Source organism: Homo sapiens, chromosome 8, assembly GCF_000001405.40.
Source record: "Homo sapiens chromosome 8, GRCh38.p14 Primary Assembly".
In the NCBI taxonomy this organism is placed as follows: domain Eukaryota; kingdom Metazoa; phylum Chordata; class Mammalia; order Primates; family Hominidae; genus Homo; species Homo sapiens.
The window spans coordinates 42,083,907-42,111,554 of NC_000008.11; the positions used below are offsets into that span (position 1 = coordinate 42,083,907).

At 44.8% G+C, this 27,648-nt stretch overlaps 1 long non-coding RNA gene and 1 pseudogene across 1 annotated transcript in view; both read left to right on the forward strand.

The window, feature by feature from the left end:
• The window catches only part of KAT6A-AS1 (KAT6A antisense RNA 1), a 53,238-nt gene extending 32,157 nt beyond the window's left edge, over nt 1–21,081 (forward strand). The window contains exon 2 of the long non-coding RNA NR_136589.1: nt 20,158–21,081. This is a non-coding gene — a long non-coding RNA (KAT6A antisense RNA 1). The remainder of the gene's footprint in view (nt 1–20,157) is intronic.
• On the forward strand, nt 17,412–17,934 carry RPL17P30 (ribosomal protein L17 pseudogene 30; annotated as a pseudogene).
• Nucleotides 21,082–27,648: the final 6,567 nt, after the last annotated feature.

Genomic DNA, 27,648 nt, shown 5'->3' on the forward strand with positions numbered 1-27,648 from the left:
TAGCCAGGCTGGTCTCCAACTCCTGACCTAAGGTGATCCCGCCTGCCTCAGCCTCCCAAAGTGCTGGGATTACAGGCGTGAGCCACCTCGCCCGGCCTCTTTCTTTCTTTTTTTTAAGATGGTGTCTCACTTTGTCACCCAGGCTGAAGTGCAGAGATACAGTCTTGCTCACTGCAGGCTCTACCTCCTGGGTTCAAGCGATGCTCCCGCCTCAGCCTCCCAAGTAGCTGGGACTACAGGTATGTGCTACCAAGCCCAGCTGATTTTTTTAGAGATGGGGTCTCACCACGTTACCCAGGCTGTATTTTCTGTTATTTTTCTATCCTTTATTTCATTTATTCCCACTCTAGCCTTCATTTTTTCCTTCCTTTTGCTTGCTTTGGGTTTAGTTTGTTCTTTTTTTTTCCCCCTAGTTTATTAAGCTGGAAAGTGATGTTATTGATTTAAGATCATTCTTTTTCTTTTCATTTTCAAAAAATTAAAATTAAAAATAAAAAAATACATAAATAAAAGTTTCCATTTGCTTTTACATCTAGTGTTGGAGATCATAAGGCACCTCATCTTGGGAGTAAATTTTTTTTCTGAGACAACCATTCGAGTGGTTCTTTTTTTTTTTTTTTTTTTTTTTTCAGATAGTCTTGCTCTGTCACCCAGGCTGGAGTGCAGTGGCAAAAATCTCAGCTCACTGCAACCTCTGCCTCCTGGGTTCAAGCGATTCTTGTGGCTTAGCCTCCCGAGTAGGTGGGATTACTGGTGTGCGCCACCATGCCTGGCTAATTGTTTATTTTTATTTTTAGTAGAGACAGGGTCTCAAACTCCTGACCTCAAGTGATCCACCCGCCTTGGCCACCCAAAGTGCTGGGATTACATGTGTGAGCTACCCGCTCAGGGCCTTGAGCGGTGCTTCTTAATTAACCCCTTATTACCCTGGAATAAGGATGTAGCGTGACCATTTTTAAATGATTGGATAGAGGCTGCCATTCCCAATACTCCTTGCTATGCTGTGAAGTGGAAAGGAAATTTTGCATATGGTCCCGGTTTCTCCAAGGCATTACAGGATTGAGACCCTCATGCACACATTCCTCCTGTCTTGAGGTACAATGTTATTAGATTATTCCAGCCACGTTGAGTCAGGCCTGCCTGGGGTCCTCTATCGGGAAATGATCTCAAGTGTCTGCAGGCAGTTGCTTGTTATGAGGGAATGGGAATCTGAACCAAAACCCAGGCTGGATGATGAGGGTAGTGGGGTAAACAGGAATGTTGTCATGCAGGGGAGGCTGGCCACGCCTCCTGATGCAGGCATCCAGGCCATGTGGGAGAATGTAACTAGCAGAGGCAGGGTGCCTGGAGAAGAAATAAAGAGCCTGTACCTGAGGAACCCCAGGATAGGGAGTGGGCTCTGCAGCAGTGGAAATGGGGATCACTAGTGGATTGATCAGGGTCTCCAGTTCTCTCTCCGGTAAGGTAGATTACTTTGAATGTTAAAGGGATGTGACTTTGTGTGTGTGACTGAGCTGGTGAAGCTGGTCATTCCAGTTGCACTGTCTTGGTTGGTTTTTTGTTTCTTTTTATTGTGGCTACTTTAACTGATTTACTTTTCTACCATGTGGCACACCCAGAAAAAAGATTAGCTTCTCAAGGTAAGATAGAATTGTGAAAGGAATTCTGCTTATTTTTTCTTACAGATGTTAACAATCAGATAGGGTCTGCCTGGATAGATCTCCATATTTAACACCTCCGGAAGCAACTCTTTATAAAATCAAAAGACCATTTGATGAATAAAAAACACAGGTTGCCAGCAATAAGGCTAACCAGAGGGTCTACAAAAGATCTAAAAATCCCACCAAAATCTTAAAATCTCTCATTTAAATAAATGGATGCATCTGAAAAATGCAGCTGGAATTTCTCTGATGCCAGGAGCAAAGCAGCACAGAAGTCCATGGAGGGCAGGGAGTAAACACTGAAGTTGCTCCACAGCGACCCACAGCCTCTGCCCTCACAGAGTGGTACTGCCCCACAGCAGTACCAGCAGACCTCAGAGATACTGTAGGTTCAGTTCCAGATTGCCTCAATAAACCAAATATCACAATACAACAAGTCACAAAAAAATTATTTTGGTTTCCCAGTCCATATAAAAGCTATGTTTACACTATACTGTAGTCTCAGTGTGCAATAGCATTATGTCTAAAAAAAAAATAATAGTTTAATTAATTAATTTATTTATTTAATTTGAGACAAAGTCTCACTCTGTTGCCCAGGCTGGAGTGCAGTGGCGCAATCTCGGCTCACTGCAACCTCTGCCTCCCAGGTTCAAACAATTCTCCTGCCTCAGCCTCTTGAGTAGCTGGGATTACAGGTGCCCGCCACCAGTCCCAGCTAATTTTTGTATTTTTAGTAGAGATGAGATTTTACCATGTTGGCCAGGCTGGTCTCAAACTCCTGACCTCAGGTGACCCGCCCACCTCAGCATCCCAAAGTACTGGGAATACAAGTGTGAGCCACTGCACCCGGCCCATACTTTAATTTAAAAATATTTTATTGCTTAAAAATTTGACAATCATCTGAGCCTTCAGTGGGCTGTAATCATTTTGCTGGTGGAGTGTCTGGCCTCCATGTTGATGGCTGCTGACTGATCGTGGTGGTGGGTGCTGAAGGTTGAGGTGGCTGTGGCAATTTCTTAGAATAAGACAACAGTGGAGTTTGCCACATAGATTGACTCCTCTTGAGCTAAAGATTTCTCTGTAGCATGTGATGCTGTCTGATAGCCTTTTACCCACAGGAGAACTTTCAAAATTAGAGCCGATCCTCTCAAAGCCTGCTGCTGCTTTAATTATTAATTTATGTAATATACTAAATCCTTTGTTGTCATTTCAACAATGTTCACAGCATATTCACCAGGAGTAGATTCTATCTCCAGAAATCACTTTCGTTCCTCATCCATAAGAAGCAACTCTTCATCTGTTCAAGTTTGATCACGCGGTTGCAGTAATTCAGTCCCATCTGTAGGCTCCACTTCTAATTCTAGTTCTCTTGCTATTTCCACCACATCAACAGTTACTTCCTCTGTTGAAGTCATGAACCACTCAAAGTCATCCATGAGGATTGACTTCTTCCAAATTCCTGTTAATGTTGATATTTTGATCTCTTCTCATGAATCACAAATGTTCTTAATGGCATCTAGAATGGTGAATTCTTTCCAGAAGGTCTTCAGTTTGCTTTGCCCATATCCATCTGAGGAATCACTATCTATGGCAGCTATAGCCTAATGAAGTGTATTTCTTAAATAATGAAATTTGAGAGCCAGAATTACTCCTCAGGCCGGGTGTGTGGCTCACACCTGTAATCCCAGCACTTTGGGAGGCTGAGGCGGGTGGATCACTTGAGGTCAGGAGTTCAAGACCAGCCTGGCCAACATGGTGAAACCCCATCTCTACAAAAAATACAAAAATTAGCTGGGTGTGGTGGTGCATGCCTGTAGTCCCAGCTACTCGGGAGGCTGAGACATGAGAATCACTTGAACCCAGGAGGCAGAGGTTGCAGTGAGCTGAGATCACACCACTGTACTCCAACCTGAGTGACAGAGCAAGACTCTGTCTCAAAAAAAAAAAAAAAGAAAGAAAGAAAGAATGAGAGGTCAGGTGCTGTGGCTCACGCCTGTAATCCCAGCACTTTGTGAGGCTGAGGTGGGCGAATCGCTTGAGCTCAAGAATTTGAGACCCTCCTGGGCAACATGGTGAAACCTGTCTCTACTAAAAATACAAAAATTAACTGGGTTTGGTGGCGTGTGCCTGTAGTCCTAGCTACTCTGGGGGCTGAGGTGGGAGGATCACTGGAGCCTGGGAGGTTGAGGCTATAGTGAGCCATGATCGCACCACGGCACTCTAGCCTGGGTAACAGAGTGAGACTCTGTCTCGAAAAAAAAAAAAAATGTGGATCAGATCTGCAATGCCCCAGACACCTGGAAGAAGCAGATGTAGCTCCCTGGAGGAATGTACCTTCTACCTAGGCATGAAAGAGGTGTGAAAGAGAAAGATTCAGCAATACAAACCAATCAGCCCTATAGAGACTTCAGATATGGGAGTTAACAGATAATATCTAGATAAAATATGGGGTTCCCAGCTAACTTGGAATTTCAGATAAGCAATGAATAAATCTTTAGTATAAGTATGTCCCACGCAATATTTTGGAGAAATTTATACTAAAACATTATTTGTTAATTACCTGAAATTCAAATTTAATTTGGTATTTTGTATTTGTGTTTTTATTATTTTTTTAAAAATTATATATTTTTTGAGACAGGATCTTACTCTGTTGCCCAGGCTGGAGTGCAGTGGTGGGACCATGGCTCACTGCAAACTTGACCTCCCAGGCTGAAGTGATCCTCCCACTCCAGCCTCTGAAAGCATTGGGATTACAGCCCTGCGCCACCACACCTGGCCTACATTCTGTATTTTTATTTTTTTTTCATTTTATTTATTTATTTTTTTTGAGACAGGATCTCTGTCTGTCACCCAGGCTGGAGTGCAGTGACCCAGTCTCGGCTCACTGCAGTCTCCACCTCCCCAGTTCAAGCAATTCTCATGCCTTAGCCTCTTGAGTAGGGATTACAGGCATACACCACCATACTCGACTAATTTTTGTATTCTTAGTAGAGACCAGGGAGACCAGGTTTCACCATGTTGGCCAGGGTAGTCTCAAACTCCTGACCTCAAGAGATCCACCCGCCTCGGCTTCCCAAAAGTGCTGGGAATACAGACATGAGCCACCATGCCTGGCCCATTCTGTATTTTTAATTGCTAAATCTGAGAACTTTAGATATAGACTGTAAAGTAAATATATCTAAGATATTTGAGAAATGAAAGGAATTGGAAAGAGAAGTGATGAGCAAGAAATGACTGGGTATATGTGAAAGAGGAGTAAATGGACCTTTTAGAAATGGAAATAATGTAAATCTAAAATGAAAACTAAATGGAAGATTCAGGAGTAAACATACTGATGCTGCAACTTACTTTGGTGTGCAAAATGTTGAGATTATGCATAGAGGGGTCAACAGTGGAAAGATATGTGATAAAACAAGGATAGTAAAATACTAATTGTAAAATATAGATGGTGGGTATATGGGAGTTTAATGTAATATTCTTTCAATTTATCCTTATTTTGAAAATTATCATAGTAGAATGTTGAAAAAAAGGCAGAAAAGTTAAACAGCATACTGGAAAAGTTTAAATACCGAACTAGAGGGTAAATTTGTAGCAATTTCAAAGACTGTAGCCCAGAAACAAGAAACAGAGACTACGAGAGACTGCTCACTATGGTGTGCATGTTCATGTTCCCCAGAAATTCGTACGTTGAAATCTCAGCCCCTAAGGTGATGGTGTTAGGAGGTGGAGACTTTGGGAGGTGATTAAGTCTTAAGGGCATACGATGAGATTAGTGCCTTTTAAAAAGAGGTCCCAGAGAGAGCCCATCCCACTTCTTCCCCTGTGAAACAGCAAGAAGACAGCCATGTATGAACCAAGAAACGGGCCCTCACCAGAACCTGACCATGCTGGCACCTCGATCTTGGACTTCCCAGCCTTCAGACCTGTGAGAAATAAATTTCTGCTGTTCATAAGCCACCCAGTCTATGCTGTTTTTGTTATAGCAGCCTTAACAAACCTAGACACTCATTAAGGTAAGTGCTTGTAGGCCAGTGTGGTGGCTTACCCCTGTAATCCCAGAATTTTGGGTGGCCAAGATAGTGGATCACTTGAGGATCACTTGAGGTCAGGAACTCGAGACCAGTCTAGACAACATGGTGAAACTCCGTCTCTACTAAAAATACAAAAATTAGCCAGGTGTGCTGTCGGTCACCTGTAATTGCAGCTGCTTGGGAAGCTGAGGCAGGAGAATCACTTGAACCTGGGAGGTGGAGTTTGCAGTGAGCTGAGATTGCGCCGCTGAACTCTAGCCTGGGCGACAGAGCAAAACTCCAACTCAAAAAAAAAAAAAAAAAAAGATACGTGCCTGCAAAGTGAGAAGTTGACATACATGTCCTACAAGTTCTCGGAGAAGGTAACAAAATGAGGAAGAGGCAATACTAAAGTAATAGTTGCTGAGAATTTTTCATAACTGATGAAAGACAGTAATTCACAGATTCAGAAATTCTTATAAATGCCAAGAAGGATAAATAAAAAGCAATTTGCTTTCTACTAGGAATTTACAAAGGATATATTTCACAAGGAAAAAAAGTGTTCCTGGAAAAAAGATCTGAAGTGTGGGTCATTCTAAACAAACATTGGTGGTTAGAAAGCAGTAATAATGTCTAATTTGTGGGGCTAAAAAGAACAGCAAGAGCACCTTTCATAGTTGAACAGATAAACTGTGGCACATCCAAACAATGGAATCTTGTTCAGCAGTAAAAATAAATGAGCTATCACGTCATGAAAAGACATGGAGAAACCTTAAATTCAGATTGCTAAGTGAAATAAACCAATCTGAAAAGTTTACATATTGCATTATCCCAACTATACAACATCCTGGAAGAGGCAAAATTATGGTGACAATAAAAAGATCAGTGGATGTCAGGGGTTAGCAGAGAGGGAAGGATGACTACGTGGAACACAAAAGATTTCTAGGGCAGTGAAAAATACCCTGTATGATACTACAATGGTGGACACATGTCATTATACATTTATCCAAACCTATAGAATATACAATACCAAGAGTAAACCCTGATGTAAACTATGGACTTTGGGTGAAAATGGTGTGTCAATGTAGGTTCATGGGTTACAGCACAGGTACTGCTCTGGTGGGGGATGTTTATAATGGGGGAGGCTGTGCACATGTAGGGGCAGGGAGTGTATGGAGAACCTCTGTACTTTCCTCTTTTTTTTTTTGAGACAGAGTCTCGCTCTGTCACCCAGGCTGGAGTGCAGTGGCGTGATCTCAGCTCACTGCAACCTCTGCCTCCTGGGTTCACGCCATTCTCCTGCCTCAGCCTCCCGAGTAGCTGGGACTACAGGCGCCCGCCACCATGCCCGGCTAATTTTTTGTATTTTTAGTAGAGACGGGGTTTCACCGTGTTAACCAGGATGGTCTCAATCTCCTGACCTCGTGATCCACCTGCCTCGGCCTCCCAAAGTGCTGGGATTACAGGCGTCAGCCACCGTGCCCGGCTCCTCTTTTTTTTTTTCTTTTTCTTTTTTTGAGACATGGTCTCATTCTGTTGCCCAGGCTGGAGTGCAGTGGTGTGATCTTGGTGCACTACAACCTCCGCCTCCTGGGTTCAAGCGATTCTCCTGCCTCAGCCTCCTGAGTAGCTGGGACTACAGGTGTCCGCCACCATGCCTGGCTAATTTTTGTATTTTTAGTAGAGGTGGGGTTTCACCATGTTGGCCAGGCTGGTCTCGAACTCCTGACCTCAAGTGATCCGCCCTCCTCGGCCTCCCAAAGTGCCGGGACTAGAGGCATGAGCCACCACACCTGGCCTGTACTTTCCTCTTAATTTTACTGTGAAACTAAACCTACTCTAAAAAAAAAAATGAAGTCTTTAAAATTAAAAAGAAAAGGAAAGACCTGGTTAGACCCAATGGCAGTGTAACCCTAGAAGGTGGTGGCTGGAATTAAAGGATTATTTGGTGTAAAGCTAAAGACATGAATTATCATTAGGTTTTGTTAAGGTAGGTGGTGCAAATTTCAAGGGTAACTACTACAAGAAAAAAGTTTTAGTGCATATCTTTAAAACTAGTAAAGGGCAAAATATGGAAAGGTTTTATGTTTAAAAACTAAATTTATGTTCTTTTTGCAGATAAAGAAATAAATTCCAGTATATCAGTAATAATAAATGTAAATAGAGTGAAAAATACAGTTAGTGATAATAGATTTTCACACTGGATGTATCTGCCCAGTTCCTTATCTGCAACTGACCATTTAGATAACCTACTCCCACTCCCATAGAAGAAAGGTAGAGTCAGGTAGAGGGAAAGGGAGATTTCTGCTCTATCAGAAGCCCTCTACAATGGAAACCAGAAGCTACAGAAACCTAATAACTTTTCCTGCTCTTAGGTTCTAGATATAGTTCTTTCTGTCTTTAGATTCTTTCACGAAGTTCAGTAAAAGGTGAATCCAAAAGTATTTAAAAACCTATAAAGGATGTAGGAATCAACCACATATTTTAAAATTTTTCTTAGAAAAGTATCAATATGCCCATATAGGGAAAAATGAAACTCTTGCTAAACACAACAGTAAGGCTGTGAATTTATGTAGCCTTACTATCTATTTCCATTTCTTTCCATTTTCTCATTTGTATTTGACAAATTCCATTTTTACCATTTTTAAGATACTCCCATCCATGAGCAATAAATAATATTTTCAACCATTTGTCAACAACATTAGGCTGGGCGAGGTGGCTCATGCCTATGATCCCAGCACTTTGGGAGGCCAAAGCAGGCAGATCACACCTGAAGTCAGGAGTTCAAGACCAGCCTGGCCAACGTGGTGAAATCCTGTCTCTAGTAAAAATACAAAAATTAGCCGGGCATGGTTGTGTGCACCTGTAATCCCAGCTACCAGGGAGGCAGAGGTAGGAGTATCACTGGAACCCAGGAGGTGGAGGTTGCAGTGAGCTGAGATCACACCATTGCACTCCAGCCTGGGCAACAGAGCCAGACTTCATCTAAAAAAAAAAAAGAAAAGAAAAAGAAAACAAACAAACAACAAAAAAAATCGAGAACATTGTAATACGTTATATTTCATGATGAGAACACAGGAATATGAAAATGTCTTCTACTATGTTTGGGGGGCGGAAAATGCTATAGATAACATTGTCCTTCACCTCTCTCTAGCAGCAATGTGGTTGGGGAAACTGAAACGACCTAAAGGGGGGTGGCCCTATTAGTCTACAGGTGTTCTTATCTTTCCTACCATGCCTTGTTTAAGAAGGGGCATCTTATTAGCTGAGTGTGGTGCCTGTGTTCCCAGCTACTCAGGAGGCTGAAATAGGAGGATCACTTGAGACAAGGAGTTCAAGGCTGCAGTGAGCTGTGATCACAACATTGTACTCCAGCCTTGGCGACAGAGTGAGACCCTGTAGCTAAGTAAAATAACATTTAATGTAATTTAAAAAGAAGGGGCTCATGTGACTGATGAAAAGTTGCACCGAAGGTTTGCTGGGAAGTTTCTTCCTTGCACTTAAGGGAGATCACTGGAAAAACAGACTTATTCTCTTTCTGTGGATGTGGCGAAGAAACATGTGGCCTCAACTTTTTTTTGAGATGGAGTCTGGGTCTGTCGCCCAGGCTGGAGTGCAATGGCATGATCTTGGCTCACTGCAACCTCCACCTCCTGCGTTCAAGCAATTCTCCTGCCTCAGCCTCCTGAGTAGCTGGGATTACAGGAATGTGCCATCATGCCCGGCTAATTTTTGTATTTTTAGTAGAGACAGGGTTTTGCCATGTTGGCCAGGCTGGTCTCAAACTCCTGACCTCAAGTGATCCTCCCGCCTCAGCCTCCCAAAGTGCTGGAATTACAGGCATGAGCCACTGTGCCCGGCCTAGCTCCAACTTTTATCAGGAGTCATTCTGCCCAAAACACCTCCAAGGCCCACTGGACTTCACCAGCTAGCCTAATCAAGGTTTAAGCCAGTTTGTTTTAAAGTTAAGCCAATTTGTGTTCGATCTTCTCTCACTAGGAGTTAAAATGTCTCTAATTTATGTAATAATTACGCCTTCACATTAAGACATTATTGAAGCATTCTACTATGAATCTACTACTGAGAAAGCACACCTGCTTCTATTTATTTATTTATTTTGAGATGGAGTTTCGCTCTTGTTGTCCAGGCTGGAGTGCAATGGTGCAATCTTGGCTCACTGCAACCTCGGCCTCCCAGGTTCAAGCAATTCTCCTGTCTGAGCCTCCTGAGTAGCTGGGATTACAAGCATGCACCACTATGCCTGGCTAATTTTGTACTTTTAATTGAGACGGGGTTTCTCCATGTTGGTCAGGCTGGTCTCGAACTCCCAACTTCAGGTGATCTGCCCGCCTCGGCCTCCCAAAGTGCTGGGATTACAGGTGTGAGCCACGGTGCCCGGCCGAGCATGCCTGCTTCTTAGTGAGTTTGGAAAGTTTCGCAAGAACTGCTTGGCTTGCATATTAATGAAATGAGAATTAGCAGATTTCCCCCTATGGTTTCAAGTATATGTGAGACTCATTGTATGGCAAATACTGCTAGTTGCCCACCCAATATCTGCTTTCTCCTTCTTCCTTACTAACAAAACTCAATTATGTTATGGATAGCAAAATGTGCCCTTGAGATGACATACTCCCGTTTCTCCTGTATCTATGGAGAAGATCTTACATCAGTGAGATGTACGCAGAAGTAATTGGGTAGGACTTGCAGGGAAATTCTTCAAAAGGAGGGCAGACCCTGATAGGCCCCCTTTCGCTTCTTGTACCTTCTTGCTTTCTGGAATGTGGATGTAAGGTTTGGAACTCCAGGAGCATTTGGACAATGAAGCAACCTTGTGAATGGAAGTCACATGTTAAAGATGTGGACCAGAAAGATAGAAAAGGCCTGGGAACTTGATGATTGTGGAGCTGCCACCCCAGTTGTGAGCTCCCTGCCTCTGAGTTTCCATTACATGAAAAAGAACAAACCTGGCCAGGCACAGTGGCTTACGCCTGTAATCCCAGCCCTTTAGGAGGCCGAAGCAGGTGGATCACCTGAGGTCAGGAGTTTGAGACCAGCCTGGCCAACATGGTATAACCCTGTCTCTACTAAAAATACAAAAATTAGCCAAGTGCCTGTAGTCCCATCTACTCGGGAGGCTGAGGCAGGGGAGTCACTTAAACCCTGGAGACAGAGGTTACAGTGAGGCGAGATCACACCACTGCACTTCAGTCTGGGCAACAGAGTGAAACTCAGTCTCAAAAAAAAAAAAAAAAAAAAAGAAAAAGAAAAAGAATAAACCTGTATCTTGTCTGATCCACGTTTTGATTTTCCATTATGTGTGCCAACAAAATCTAATCCCAATTAATGTGTGGTGTGCCACAGTTAAGAATAAAAACTCTGGAGTCAGATCTGAAATAGAGATCTTACTGTGCAACTGCTTAACTGTGTAACCTTGGGCAAATTAATGAACTTCTCTAAGCCTCAGCTCATCATCTATAACAGGGATCGTGGATGGTACCGACATGGTGGGACCGTTGTAAGGATTAAGTGAGATAACACATGAAAAATGCTTAGTGCAGTGCCTGGCACAGACATTCAGCACTTACCAGTGGTATATCTGTTGTTTCCAAACAAATATAGAGGCTAGCTAAAGGCAGCACAGATATTATAGGGAGAAGCAAAGAAGAAGTTGGTGGTCTCTAATCTAAACTAAGCCCTTGGCACCCATGTTACCCTATCTGTGTATCTTTTGTCATCCAGCTCTATCATTCCTCACACTCCCAACACTTTCTCTCCAGACCTTGCCTACACTCAAGATTCCTACTCCTCTTGGTATATGACACTGCCTCCCACTTCACAGAAAAAAATTGAATTATCAGGAGCGAAACCCCTGAATGTCCTGCCCCCACACCAACTAACTTCCTCCCAAGGCATTTCTTCTGCCCAAAGCTAATCCTTCCATCTGTGCTTTCGTGGCAGTTCCTCCCATCAACTCAGAGATGTGGACTCATCGTACCCTACCTTGCCCTTGTGTCCCAGCTTACAGATGTGCTCGCATCTCTGCTATCTTACAAAAACCAAGACAAGACAAAATACTGTCCCTCTTTGAGACGTAGTACTGTAAGGATTGACCCTTCTTTCTCCTGCCCCTCCTAGCCAACCTCTTTATTGAGAGAAAGTCTATATTCATTCTATCCACTGTCAGTAGCACAGGCCGCTATTTACTAAATATTTACTCTGCGCCAGATTATATATATACTCTTCAATCTTCAAATCAATAATACAAAGACTATCACTGTTTTGTATGTGAATGAGGTACTTGAAGCTCAAAGAGATTGAAGTGTCTCATTCTGGTTCAAACAGCAAAAATGTGACAGAATCAAGATTGCAACTCTAGTCTCTCTGAATGCAGTTCATGTTATTTGCATTCTCTCAGTAGTTCCCAAACCTGCCAGGGCATCAAAATCATCTAGAGGTCGGATAAGGAAAAAAAACCAACAGATTCTTGGGTCTCACCCCAGAGCTACCAAATTATAGTCCCTTCACGAAGAGCCCAGGAATCTTAACCTTTGCAGCTTGTGGGTGGATCTGATACAGCCCCACTGACATAGGGCTTCCCCATGCTGCCTCTCACCCTTGCACTCCTCACTTCATCCCAGTTTGGCTTCTAGTTTCACTCTTCAAACCAGATTACCTTCCCGAGACCTCCTCATGGCCAGATCCACCAGGCATTCTCCAATCTTTGTCTTGCTTGACTTGTTAACAGTGTTTAACAAGCTGACTAATTTCTACCTTTCTTTGGTTTCCAGAATACCATGCTCTACTCTTGGATTTCCTCCTTTCTTTTTGATCTTTCCTACTCTTTGTCTTTCAGCCACCTTCTAAATGTTGGCACCCCCACCTTGGTTTCTAACTTCACTCTCTTCTCACTTCAAACACCATGCTTGGGTGATCTCATCCACTCCCATGGATCTAATTACTATTTGTATATTAATGACTCCCAAACTGGTATTTCTAGCTTCTCTCATGGCCACTGGATCTATTAGTTTGTATATGAGGAATTGCCAGTTGAGTGTCACTTAGATCCCCTAACTCAACAGGTTCATAATGGAATTCATGATCTTTCTGCTCGCAGGTCTGGCTCCACAGGTGCATTAGATGGCTCAGGCTGCCAGAACAAAATGCCATAGACTCAGTGGCTTAAATAACAGAAATTTATTTTCTCACAATTCTGGAGCCTGGAAGTCTGAGATCAGGGCATCTGCGTGTTCTGGTGAGGGCTCTCTTCCTGGCTTGCAGACAGCTGCCTTCTCATGTATGCTCACATGGCCTTTCCTCGATGCATGCTCATTGAGAAAGTGTAGTTTACTGTCTCTCCCTCTCTTCATTTTTTTTTTTTGAGATGGAGACTCACTCTGTCATCCAAGCTGGAGTGCAGTGGCGTGATCTCAGCTCACTGCAACCTCTGCCTCCTGTGTTCAAGCAATTCTCTCCTGCCTCAGCCTCCTCAGTAGCTAGGATTACAAGCGTGTGCCACCATGCCTGGCTAATTTTTGTATTTTTAGTAGAGATGGGGTTTCACCATGTTGGCCAGGCTGGTCTCGAACTCCTGACCTCAAGTGATCCACCTGCCTCAGCCTCCCAACGTGCTGGGATTACAGGTGTGAGCCACTGAGCCCGGTCTCTCTCTCTTCTGATAGGGACACAAGTCTTATCGGATTAGGATCTGCCCTTATGACCTCATTTCACCTTAATTACCTCCTAAAAGCCCTATCTCCAAACATAGTCACATGGAGAATTAGGGTTTCAACATATGAATTCTAGGGGAACACAAATATTCAGAACACAGCAACAGCTGTGCAACAGTGTAGCCACACTGCACGGTTGTTGGGTCACACCCTGTGCTCAGAAAGTCCCCATGCCTGACGTTTGATGCCCTTTGATAGCTGTTTTGAAATGCTTCATAATGTTATCTTTGAGTGTGTGTTTTGTCAGTGAAGTCCTATGGCACAATGGAGAGTGTGCTGGGTGCTTGGAGCTTCAGTTGACATACCATCCCTGTACCTCTGGGACAGGCTCTCAGCCCACTGCTCCTGCCCCCTGGCACCACACGGCTCCCCTCCCCATCCCCTGTGACTGCTGCCACCTTCTGCACCCCCTGGGGTGGAGTCCTGGGCATGGGTTGGGCACACGTACACTGTGGTATCTCAGGGCAAGGCATAGCAGTGGCCATCCAGTCCCAGGCTGGAGGTGCCATGGCACATTCAGGGTGCAGTTAAGCAAGGGAAAGCCTGTTGCCCACCACTATCCAGGTGCCTCGCATCGGCCTGGCACAGAAGTAGCAATACTCTTGACAGCCACCCATCTTCTGTGGGTTGGGACTACAGGCGACGGGGAAGGAGAGATGCCTGGCTTGACTTATAGGAACGTTGGTCCCTGGCTGGCAGAAGCTGGGAACCTACTAGCCCTGTGCTCAATCGTGAGGTATGGGCCTCAGGAGTCTGTGAGGGTCTGACTCACCCTACGAATATCTGTGTCCAAGGGAGGACAACCTTAAATAGGAAGTGAAGACCACCATGACAAGCCAAAAGACAGCGGTCATGGAAGAAACGGAAAAGAGTTTTTCCTGCATTTTCAGCAAGGGGTCTTTTAAAGAAAAACCTAAAAAAAATTTTTTTTAACAGACACAGGGTCTCACTATGTTGCCCAGGCTGGTCTTGAACTCCTGGGCTCAAGTGATCTTCCTACCTTGGCCTCACAAAGTACTGGGATTACAGGCATAAGCCACCATGCCTGGCCTCAACAAGATCTTGCATTTTTATTTCGCATTGGACCATGTAAATTTATGGTGGTGGCCCTGATCCTCCTCTTCTTTTTTCCTTCTCAATGATGCTACCCATCCAATCACTAACACCAAATCCACCAAAATGATCCTCCACATTCTCATGTCTCCTATCCCCCTCCCTGCACCCAGAACTCTATAGTCTATTTTCTAGATATTTCTAACATCTTCATTTCCAAATGCCATGGGCTTAGTTCAGATAACAAAAAGAAATTTGGAATTATCCTGTTTTTGATTAAACCACCCAAAAGACTCCCCCCAACATCATATAGAAAAGAAAGAAAGAAACAACCGTTCATGCTTAGTTTGTCATTTGGGGTGACTGGTTGTGGAAATGACCTCAGATGGATGACTGTGGAAGATATTGTCTAAGAAGACTGAATTCATAAGACCAGGGAGCACTTAGGACCCGTAAAGATCTGGCTCAGACATTAAAAAAATATCAGCCAAGGGACACCAATAATTTTTTACCTAAAATATAATTTATAGAACAACTATGGTATTTTTAAGACCATCATTTATTAAAATTAATTACTAACTAAATCCCAAACTTTCCTTCCGCTGCTTGGGCCACTGAAGCTGTCTTGGGCAGGACAGAAGGTTTAAAGTGGAGAAAGGCCATATGGCTGCCATGAACATTTGTGGGTGTTAAAGCGTCCTTTTATGGGCCAACTGGCAACTGGCTTGTGGGTGTGTCTGGTTGGCATGAAGGTGTGGGAGTACACCCAAAAAGTCCCCTCAGGCAGTCTTCCTAAAACATCACTGTCTCCACATCCCTTGCCTGCTGAACACCCTTCAGTAGCGTCTCAATTTTATTTACTTATTTTTTTGAGACAGAGTCTCACTCTGTTGCTCAGGCTGGAGTGCAGAGGCACGATCTTGATTCACTGCAACCTCCACCTCCCGGGTTCAAGCAATTCTTGTGCCTCAGCCTCCCAAGTAGCTGAGATTACAGGCATGCACCACGCCTGGCTACTTTTTTGTATTTTTAGTGGAGATGGAGTTTTGCCATGTTGGCCAGGCAGGTCTCGAACTCCTGACCTCAGGTGATCTGCCTGCCTTGGCCTCCCAAAGTGCTGAGATTACAGGCATGAGCCACAGCGCACAGCCGCATCTCAATTTTTTGCAGGTTACAGCCCAGCCTATTTAGGAAGCTGTTCAAGACCCTCCACCCTTACCCTTCCCTTACTCTGCTGATATTTGATGTCACCATCTCTCGATACCAGCTTGCACAGAACTGGAGCCAGTTTCCTTCCTGTGTTCCAGCCTTGCTATTCTTTTACCTACCTCGAAAGTCTCTTCACTCATTTGATAATGTGCATTCTATCCAACTGAAGTTCTGACTCCATTTTTATTTGATTTAATATACTTTTTAGGCCGGGCGCGGTGGCTCATGCCTGTAATCCCAGCACTTTGGGAGGCCGAGGCAGGCGGATCACGAGATCAGGAGATCAAGACCATCCTGGCTAACATGGTGAAACCCCATCTCTACTAAAAATACAAAAAATTAGCCCGGAGTGGTGGCGGGCGCCTGTAGTCCCAGCTATTCGGGAGGCTGAGGCAGGAGAATGGCATGAACCTGGGAGGCGGAGCTTGCAGTGAGCCGAGATTGGGCCACTGCACTCCAGCCTGGGTGGCAGAGGGAGACTCTGTCTCAAAATAAAAAAAAAAAAAAAAAAAAATATATATATATATATATATGTATATATATGCCTTTTAAAAGCATTACTGCTGGATGCGGTGGCTCACACCTGTAATCCCAGCACTTTGGGAGGCCAAGGGGGAGGATCACTTGAGATAAGGAGTTCGAGACAAGCTTGGTCAACATGGTGAAACCCCGTCTCTACTAAAAATACAAAAATTAGCTGGGCATGGTGGTGCACGCCTGTAATCCCAGCTACTCAGGAGGCTGAGACATGAGAATCACTTGAACCGGGAGGCGGAGGTTGCAGTGAACAGAGATTGTGCCACTGCATTCCAGCCTGCACAACAGAGCAAGACACTGTCTCAAAAAAAAAAAATACAGAAAATTAGCTGGGCATGGTGGCACATGCCTGTGAGGAGGCTGAGATGGGAGAATCACCTGAGCCCAGGAAGTGGAGGCTGCGGTGAGTCGTGATTGCATCACTGCATTCTAGCCTGGGTGACAGTGAAAACCCCGTCAAAAAAAAAAAAAAGGTATTATTATGCATCAAGCAGCATTTGCATGCTTTACATATATGGATTACTTGTCCCTATGACATAGAGACTATTATCAATTGCCAACTTATAGATGAAGTTAATCAACTTCCCCAGGACACAGAGCCAGCGTTCTAACCCAAACAGCTGCTCTTGACCAGTGTCCTTGCTCTCCCCGCCTGCCCAGTGCTGCCTCCAGCAAGCCTTCATGCCCACTCCAGGCCTTCGTGCATTCTTGTTTGTCTGTTTGTTTATATTTGAAAATGTCAGGAATTTCTTTCCTGACACATCGTTAAAGGTCCCTTGCATCTTCTTGCTTTCTGGGTATCTTTGCTTTGTGCTATCTTAAAAACCTTGGAGCAAGCGTATTACACATAATTCTACATACAGATTGACAGATGCCTCCATGAGTTAAAGGAGAGAGACAAAAAAATAAACAAGAGCTTAACACTTCTCATGGTTCGTTAGCACAAAATTACATTTTGTGCATTTTTTCAATGGCGAGATCATAGGGGATCAGTTCCTGCAGTGGCATGTGCGTCAGGCTTCAATCACAGATTAGAAACTGCTCTGGGTATCTTAAACAGAAAAGGAATTTAATCCAAGGAATTAGATGCTTACAGAAATGTTTGCAGTTGGAAAAGCAGGCTTTAGGCTGGACCTCTAGGAATGAGTCTCAGAATGACAGGGCCCAAGTGACCCTCTGCTTTTCCCGTAAGTGGCCTAAGTTAATCTCTGAAAATGGTGCATTACTCACTTGACCCAGAAAACTCCACAAGATTGCACAAATCCAATCTTTGTGTTCACTTCAGGAATACCAGTGAAACTGCCCAAGCCACCAAGGCTTTACCTATACCAAAAGCTACCCAGTATCTGAAAGATGCCGCAATATAGAAGCAATGTGTGCCATGCTGCCTTACCATGGTGGAGTTGACAGCAGTGCCCAGGCCAGACCGTGGGGGTAATGCAGGGTCAGTGGCCCAAAAAGAGTGATGAATTATTGCTGTCCCAAGATGCAGAGAGTAATGCTGACCTTAAGAATTTGTATGTAGATTCTCTAGTCATTGAGCACATGAAGGCGAACAAAGCCCCCAAGATGCCTATCAAACTGAGAGAGCTCACGGTCAGATGAGCCTCTTGACATTCTGAGATGACCCTTCCTGAAAAAGAACAAATTGTTCCTAAACTGGAAGAGGAGGTAGCACAGAAGAAAAAGATATGCCAAAAGAAACCAAAGAAACAAAAAGTTATGGCTCAGGAATAAATCCAGTAACATAAATGCAAATAAAAGTAAACTGCCTGGCCGGGCACGGTGGCTTACACCTGTAATCCCAGCACTTTGGGAGGCCAAGGTGAGAGGATTACCTGAGGTCAGGAGTTCGAGACCAGCCTGACCAACATGGTGACCCGTCTCTACTAAAAATACAGAATTAGCTGGGCGTGGTGGCACATGCCTGTAATCCCAGCTACTTGGGAGGCTGAGGCAGGAGAATTGCTTGAACCCGGGAGGCGGGGGTTGCAGTGAGCCGAGATCACGCCATTGCACTCCAGCCTGGGCAACAAGAGTGAAACTCCATCTCAAAAAAAAAGGAAACCACCTGGCTACTTCATCATTACTGGAAACTTTTGGAATCAGGACACCACCATGCAAAACGCAGGCTCTAGGACAGACATGGTTGACATTTGGGACAGGATAATTCTTTGTAGAGGGGGCTGTCCTGTGCATTATAGGATGTCTCACAACATCACTGGCTTCTACCCACTAGATACAGATAGCACACCCTCAGTCACAACAATAAGAAATGTCTCCAGGCCAGGCACTGCGGCTCATGCCTGTAATCCCAGCAATTTGGGAGGCTGAAGCCGGAGGATCACTTGAGCCCAGGAATTCAAAACCAGCCTAGGCAACATAGGGAGACTCCATCTCTACAAAAAAGTTTTAAAAGTTAGCCAGGCATGGTGGCACGCACCTGTAGTCCTAGCTGCTCAGGAGGCTAAGACGGGGAGGATTGCTTGAGCTGGGGAGTTTGAGGTTGCAGTGAGCTATGATTGTACCACTGCACTCCAGCCTGGGTGACAGAGGAAGACCCTATCTCAAAAAAAGAAAGAAATGTGTCCAGACTTTGCTAAATGCCCCCACTGGGAGCAAAATAGCCCCTGGTGGAGGATCTCTTGTATAGAGCATCATAAGCTTAGCCTGTCGGGAGTCCCGGGGGGCTGCTACCATATTGCTTTCACAGATTTTGAAGATCAGGAACACACTGCCTTGGCTGTGTCCTGTAGATCAGCAACACCACTGCAACAGTCAGCTCCAAAGCCGTGCTGCACCTGCTGCAATTCACACCCACGAAACCAATGCCTGCTGCCTTTCTTCCCACTTGACTCAGTTGCATATCCACTTCTGAAAAAAGAGGCATCTGATTGGTGGAAACTGAATCCCATCCAGACCCCCAGCTGCAAGGGAGTCTGGGAAGAATCATGTTTTAGCTTTCCTGTTTTTGCAGTGCAAGAAGGTACCCTAGAAGAGAGGTTGAAATAAGTATTGAGAGAACCAATCTACCGTATCGGCTATGGCATGTCAACTTTTTGTTCTTGTCAAATGAAGCGGGTAACGTGGGAATGTTAATCTATTTGAATGGAAGTGTTTTGAAAAGAAAGGTGGGCGGGGTAGAACAGCCTACCAGTGTCTATCATCAGGAACAAGATACTTTCTAGCATATCGTATTTTATACTCACTGTCTTAATCAGTCGTCTAAACATTAGCAATTCTACCCTGTGATTTCATTTTACATGTGTAAATGTCTTGTCTCCCTAAAAATTTGCAAGTTCTTTAAGGTTAGGACTACTCCCTTCTTTTATTATTATTATTATTATTATTTTAAGACGGAGTCTCACTCTGTCACCCACACTAGAGTGCAGTGGTACAATATTGGCTCACTGCAACCTCCGCCTCCCAGGTTCAAGTGATTCTCCTGCCTTAGCCTCCTGAGTAGCTGGGATTACAGGCACCTGCCACCATGCCAGCCTAATTTTTTGTATTTTTTTTTTAGTAGAGATGGGGTTTCACCATGTTGGCCAGGCTGGTCTCGAACTCCTGACCTCTAGCAATTCACCCACCTCGGCCTCCAAAAGTGCTGGGATTACAGGCTTGAGCCACTGGGCCCGGCACTCCCTTAATTCTTGAGCATAGTTATAGGCATATTGCCGATATTCTGTAAGAATTATTAAACATTCTTTAAGTTGCACTAACCATCAGAAACAGAGTCAGGAATACTTCTAGCCACCACTCTTTAAACAGGATTTGAGAGTCCCTTTCCTATCTGTTAGGATCATTTTTAACTCTCATAACTTGGAATCTTTATGGGATCTTTAAAATACCAGTTGTTGTCATAGAATCTGAATTGAGAAATATGTTGGGGGTTAAGAGTTTAAGAATTTTTAAAAATACATTTATCTTAAATATGTATTGCTATTTCTCCATTTCCAGTCACCATGGAGCAACCAGGGCCGCATTTACCCTTCCACCTGAAACAACAGCAACCACAAAAAACAGACATAATATACAAAACATTGGTTTTCAAGATGCTGGACATCAGGTAATGAAGGACAGTGACTCCTGTGAGATAGGAGGGAAATGAGCTGACCCTACAATTGCCTCAGCCTGTGAGGGTTCCCAGGCCAGGGCACAGGCAAGAGAGACTGAGGCAGAGCCCAGGGGATTCCCTGGGTCAGGGAGACGGAGCTGAGAATGGAGAAAGGCCACAGGGACTAAAGTTCTTGGGGCAAAGTCCCAAAGAAGAGAGAGCTGCGTGGAGAGAGGGAGAGAGCTCAGAGATCTGCAGAGGGTCTTCCTGAGCCTTCACTGAGTGCTGAGCAGTGCGGATGTGCCAGGGAACGATCAGACGCTGGGGACAGAACCACCCAACAGAATTCAAGATAAGAGTGCTCAGTGCTGACACGGGACCAGGACCAGGGTCTGTTTCCACCAGCCAGAGCAGAAGCCTGAAGAGTCCCAGACACCAGGGAGGCTTCCCAGAAGAAACTAGCCTCAGCAGTGAGGAATAATTAGCCTAGACTGAGCACAGCGCCAGAATCCCCCACCAAATCATGACAGCAACCCGAAGGGATTGAACTGTTTCCAACAAACTTAACTGCATCGCAGAACAAAGCACACAATTATTTATAGGAACACAAACATATCCAGCACCCAGCGAAGTAAAATTCATGGTGTCTGACATCCAATAAAAAATAACCAGTCATGCAAAGAAGGAAAATATGACCCATAGTAAGGAGATAAATACATCAATCAAAACTGACATAGAACTGACACAGAAGCCAGGATTAGCAGACAAGGACATTAAAACAGTTATTATAACTGTGTTCCATATGTTCAAAAAGTCAAGGAGAGACATATTTGCCTTTTTGCTTTTTTTCTCTGCTGAATAATTCTGTCCAAAAACTAAGATCACGGAGGCTCAAGTCGATCTGCCTGGTTCAATTTCCAGCTCTGAGACTTACAGGCTCTCATACAGTGTAGCCGGGGCTGGGGCTGGACACAGTGTCTGAGCTCTGGCAGGGTGAGGAGGTGCAGGTATTAGGAGACAGAGCACACACCCAAGCGTGGCCTGATTCAAAAGTAAATATGCATATTCATGGCTGGGCGCCGTGGCTCACGCCTGTAATCCCAACACTTTGGGAGGACGAGGCGGGTGGATCACTTGAGGTCAGGAGTTTGAGACCAGCCTGACCAATGTAGCGAAACCCCATCTCTATGTGGTTTGTAAAAATACAAAATTTAGCCAGGCGTGGTAGCGAATGCCTGTAATCCCAGCTACTTGGGAGGCTGAGGCAGGAGAATCGCTTGAACGCGGGAGGCGGAGGTTGCTGTGAGCCAAGGTCACACCACTGCACTCCAGCCTGAACAATAAGAGCAAAAATCCTTCTCAAAAATAAAAAAATACAAAAGTAAATATACATATTCAGAAAAATAGGAGCAGCTTTCTAGGGATCAGAAAAGGGAGATACAAAATGAGAAGGGAGAAATTAGACTGAATTAGAGATATTGGGCTTTGCATGGTGGCTCACCCTTATAATCCCAGTGCTTTGGGATGCTGAAGTGGGAGAATTCCTTGAGCCTAGGAGTTTGAGACCAGTTTGGGCAACATAGTGAGACCCGGTGTCTACAAAAAATGTAAAAAATTAGTTGGATGTGGTGGCGTGTGCCTGTAGTCCCCGCTACTTGGGAGGCTAAGGTGGAAGGATCGCTTGAGCCCAGGAGGTTGAGGCTGCAATGAGCTGAGCTCATACTACTGTACTCCAGCCTGGGCATCAGAGTGAGACCCTGTCTTAAGAAAAAAAATTAGAGATATTGGTGTGAGCTCATGGTTTTCAGTATATACAGATGGATAATAAAATAAATATAGATGTTGATGTGTGCACACGCACACACAGAGACACACACATTCCCCGGCTCTGTCCACCAAGCAGATCTAGGGGCAGCCTCACCGTCACCCTGACATGGAGACACTTCTGATTAGAGGTCAAAGAAGAGATGTGTCCAAAGAGGAGAAACCTCAGATCCAGTTATAACTTGGTAGTTTCGGGCAGCTTTTCTTCAAAGAATGTTTTTAATCTTTATAAGTCATAAAAACAAATCAAGTATGTCAATAAACACTACATTTCTACATTCGAAAAATTATTTTTATATACAGTAGCTTATTTATTGCATAGACAAATCATAGAAAAGTAATTACAGGCTTTGGGTTAGTCTTGGGATCCTATTTCAGCTCTAACATTCACTCACTTTGTAACTCTTGGGAACCACGTGATCTCTCTGAGCCTCAGTTTCCTCAAACATAAAACAAATATATTTACCTTCATAAGGTTTTATATTTTTAATTAGATTGTACAGATCCCCACCATGCATGGCATAAAGTAAATGCTCAGCAAATGATAGTTATCAGCACATTTGCACATGGTGTAAATTGGGCAGGTTTTTTTTGTTGTTGTTGCTTTTTTTTTTTCTTTTTTGAGATGGAGTCTGGCTCTGTCACCCAGGCTGGAGTGCAGTGGCACAATCTTGGCTCACTGCAACCTCCACCTCCCAGGTTCAAGCAATTCTCCTGCCTCAGCCTCCTGAGTAGCTGGGATTACAGGCACCTGCCACCATGCCTGGCTTTTTTTTTTTTTTTTTTTTTTTGTATTTTTAGTAGAGATGGGGTTTCACCATGTTGACCATGCTGGTCTCTAACTCCTGACCTCAAGTGATCCACCCTCCTCGGCCTCTAAAGTGCTGGGAATATAGGCATGAGCCACCACACCAGGCCAAATTGGGCAGTTTTTTCTGATTTTAGTTTAACGGGAGAAAAAAGACAAAGGTTGGCAAAGACGTCAGAGCAGAACATATGAATTCAGTTAACTATTTATTTATTTATATTGAGATGAAGTCTCACTCTGTCGCCCAGGCTGGAGTGCAGTGGCTTGATCTCAGCTCACTGCAACCTCCACCTCCTGGGTTCAAGCCATGCTCCTGCCTCAGCCTCCTGAGTAGCTGGGACTACAGGCACCCACCACCATCCTCCCAAAGTGCTGGGATTACAAGTGTGAGCCACCATGCCCAGCCACAAATTATTTATAAATAGAATATGCATGGAGGGAGGAAGACCTTCCAGAGGCAGGGAGAACAGGAGCAAATCCCCGGCGTGGGCAGTAGCAGGAGATATACAGGCTATACTGGCTGGGGCTGATGGTGGCAGAGGTGCAAGGAGGCACGAAGGAAGTGAGGATCCAGAGGATCTGTGCCAGGTTATGTGGGCTAAACTAATACAGGCTGAACTAAGCCAAAGAACTTTGGCCCGGCCAGGCACGATGGCTAACACCTGTAATCCCAGCACTTTGGGAGGCTGAGGCAGATGGATTGCTTGAGTCCAGGAGTTTGAGACCAGCCTGGACAACATGGCAAAAGCCTGTCTCTACGAAATTTTTTTTTTTTAAAAGCCATGCACCTGTAGTCCCAGCTACTCGGGAGGCTGAGGCAGGAGGATCACTTGAGTCCCGGAGGTCAAGACTGCAGTGAGCCAAGATCACATCACTGTACTCCAGCCCGGGCAACAGAGTGAAGCCCTATCTCAAGAAAACAAAACAAAACAAAACGAAACTTTAGCCATTATTGTGTTGCATGGACTCTCGTATTCATGATTTATAGCCCACTAGACCACACTTTGTCTAGATATCTCTTCATAGAGAGCAGCCTCTGATTTAGGGCAGTTATTCATTAGATTGTGCTGTGTCCAAGTCAGGAGCCCCCAGCTGCCCTTGGTTTCACGAATGAACACGACTTTTTGTTGTTGCTTGATGAGGCGTATTTAAGAGTGGGGAGCTATTGCTAACATGAGTAGAAGTTCTGTACATGTAAACTCCCTGGGGTGTTTCCCCAAGATTCACCGGCTGGGAAGATCCTGATGGGCAGCCTCTCCATAGGGGGACACATGCACATCTCAAGCACTCAAGAGGAATTCAGGCTCAGGGGACGCAACGCATGTCAAGAAAAGTATATGGTTCCAAAAAGGCTAAAGGAACTGGAAGTATTTAAAGATGGAATGATTTCAGGCAATAAACTCCCTCCCACCCAAACAACTAAGCAAGTAAAGGAATAATGTAAAGAGGGTGCTTGCACACCTCTTGCCCAAAATCTCAGAGATTCAAGATTTTGACATTTCTCCTTTTTTTTTTTTTTTTTTTTGAGACAGAGTCTTGCTCTATTGCTCAGGCTGGAGTGTAGTGGCACGATCTTGGCTCACTTCAGCCTCTGCCTCCCAGGTTAAAGTGATTCTCCTGCTTCAGCCTCCCAAGTAGCTGGGACTACAGGCACATTCCACCACACCCGGCTAATTTTAGTATTTTTAGTAGAGATGGGGTTTTGTCATATTGGCCAGGCTGGTCTCAAACTCCTGGCCTCAAGTGATTCACCTGCCTCAGCCTCCCAAAGTGCTGGGATTTCAGGGGTGGGCCACTGCACCCTGACATTTCCTCTTTGACTCTAATCAGAAGTGTTTCCATGATGGCGCGTGTGCAGTAGGACTTAAAGGACACTGCAGCTCCAGAGACTCCACCCTCAACTCAACAAAGACTTAGAATTAGCTTTACTGGTCATCGTAAAGGGTGGAACTTGGTCCTCCTTCCAGAGGGAGGGGTGGAGCTGGGCACTGTTTCTCCATCAATGTGTCTTGGCAGTTGGGATATTTAGAGATATTTAGAATGTATTATGATTTGGGGTCTGTATACTCCACTTTGAAAAATTCTGCACAGGGGGAGGAAGTACAGATAGGGGTAACTATTGTGGAGAGGAAAAAGAGGATATATAGCTCTAACAAGGAAGAAAGGCCTAAGGAGAAGGTGTTAGAGACTGGAATCAATGAAAGAAAGGCATGAGAAATCATTGAAAAATTAATAAGGGCTTGGCATGGTGGCTCACACCTGTAATCTCAACATTTTGGGGGCCGAAGAGGGCAGATTACTTGAGGTCAGGAGTTCAAGACAAGCCTGGCCAACATGGCAAAACCCTATCTTTACTAAAAGTACAAAAATTAGCCAGGCGTGGTGGCGGGTGCCTGTAACCCCAGCTACTCAGGAGGTTGAGGCCAGAGAATGGCTTGAGCCCGAGAGGCGGAGGTTGCAGTGAGCTGAGACACACCACTGCAATTCCAACCTGGGCAACAGAGTGAGACTCTATCTCAAAAAAAAAAAAAAAAGAAAAGAAAAGGAAAAAGGACAAGAAAAACACAATAAATATTCATTTTTAAAAACTGATGAGTTTTTACATCCATAAGGCTGTGCCTGAAAAAAATAATAATAAAAACAATTGATGAGTTTCTTAACATGAGTTACTCAGTGTTATGGGAGGCACCAGGGATACAGTAAATAACACAAAGCTGCCCTTGAGGAGCTCACATTTCCATGGGAAGTCAGACATCCATGCCATGAACTCTAATGCCATGGGTGGTCCTCCAGCATAGCTTTATGGGAATGTGAGTGGGGAGGAAGAAGCATCCACCTGCCTAGAGAGGTCAGGGAAGGCCTGAGAGCACCAAACACCTGGACTGAGGCCAAGATGGGCCCAGTGAGCCAGGTCCACCTGTCAATACAGAGTGCGGGTCCAGCTGTCAATATAGAGGGCAGGTCCAGCTGTCAATATGAAGGGTGGGTCCAGCTGTCAATACAGACGGTTGATCCAGCTGTCAATACAGAGTGAGGGTCCAGCTATTAATATATAGGGCAGTTCCAGCTGTCAATACAGAGGGTGGATCCACGTGTGAATACAGAGGGTGGGTCCAGCGGTCAATACAGAGGGTGGGTCCAGCTGTCAATACAGAGGGTGGGTCCACCTGTCAATACAGAGGGTGGGTCCAACTGTCAATACAGAGGGCGGATCCACCTGTCAATACAAAGGGCGGGTCCAACTGTCAATAGAGAGGGTGAGTCCACCTGTCAATAGAGAAAGAAGATTCACCCGTCAATACGAAGGGATCCACCTGTCAATACAGAGGGCGGGTCCACCTGTCAATACAGAGGGCGGGTCCACCTGTCAATACAGAGAGAAGATCCACCTGTCAATACGGAGGGAGAGTTCACCTGTCAATACAGAGGGCGGGTCCACCTGTCAATACAGAGGGCAGGTCCAGCTGTCAATACAGAGCAAGGATCCACCTGTGAGTACAGAGACAGGATCCACCTGTCAATACAGAGAGAGGATTCACCTGTCAATACAGAGGGCAGGTCCAGCTGTCAGTATAGAGGGAGGATCCATCCGTCAGTACAGAGAGAGGATCCACTTGTCAATACAGAGGGTGGATCCAGCTGTCAGTACAGAGGGAAGATCCAACTGTCAATACAGAGGGTGGGTCCAGCTGTCAGTATAGAGGGAGGATCCACCAGTCAGTACAGAGGAGGGATCCACTTGTCCATATAGAGGGCGGGTCCAGCTGTCAGTATAGAGGGAGGATCCACCTATCAGTACAGAGGAAAGATCTACTTGTCAATACAGAGGGCGGGTCCAACTGTCAATACAGAGGGCAAGTTCAGCTGTCAGTATAGGGGGAGGATCCACCTGTACAGAGGACGGGTCTAGCTGTCAGTACAGAGGGAGGATCCAACTGTCAATACAGAGGGCGTGTGTATTAGTTCATTTTCGCACTGCTGATAAAAGACATACCTGAGACTGGGTAATTTATAAACAAAAAAGAGGCTTAATAGACTTACAGTTCCACATGGCTGAGGAGGCCTCACAATCATGGTGGAAGGCAAAAGGCACGTCTTACATGAGGGCAAACAAGAGAATGAAAGCCAAGCAAAAGGGGTTTCCCCTTATAAAAACATCAGCTCGCATGAGACTTATTCACTACCAAGAAAACAGTATGGGGGAGACTGTCCCCATAATTCAATTATCTCCCACTGGGTCCCTCCCACAACACGAGGGAATTACGGGAGCTACAACTCAAGATGAGATTTGGGTGGGGACATAGCCAAACCATATCAGTGTATTGACCATTTCAGCTGTCAATACAGAGGGTGGGTCCACCTGTCAATACAGAGGGCAGGTCCAGCTGTCAATACAGAGGGTGTGTCCATCTGTCAATACAGAGGGCAGGTCCAGCTGTCAGTACAGAGAACGGGTTCACCTGTCAATAGAGAGGGCAAATTCACCTGTCAATACCGAGGGCCTTGTCTCAAAAAAAAAGTTTTTTTAGTGAAGAGCAAAAGTTTGGATTTTATTGTACTGTAGATACCCAATGGGGTTTTTGTTGAGGGGCAATGGTTTGAGATAAAGTCTCACTCTGTTGTCCAGGCTGGAGTGCAGTGGTGAGATCATAGCTCACTACAGCCTCAGACTCCTAGGCTCAAGTGATCCTCCGGTCTCAGCCTGGTGAGTAGCTGGGACTACAGGCATGCACCACCACACCCAGCTAATTTTTTAATTTTT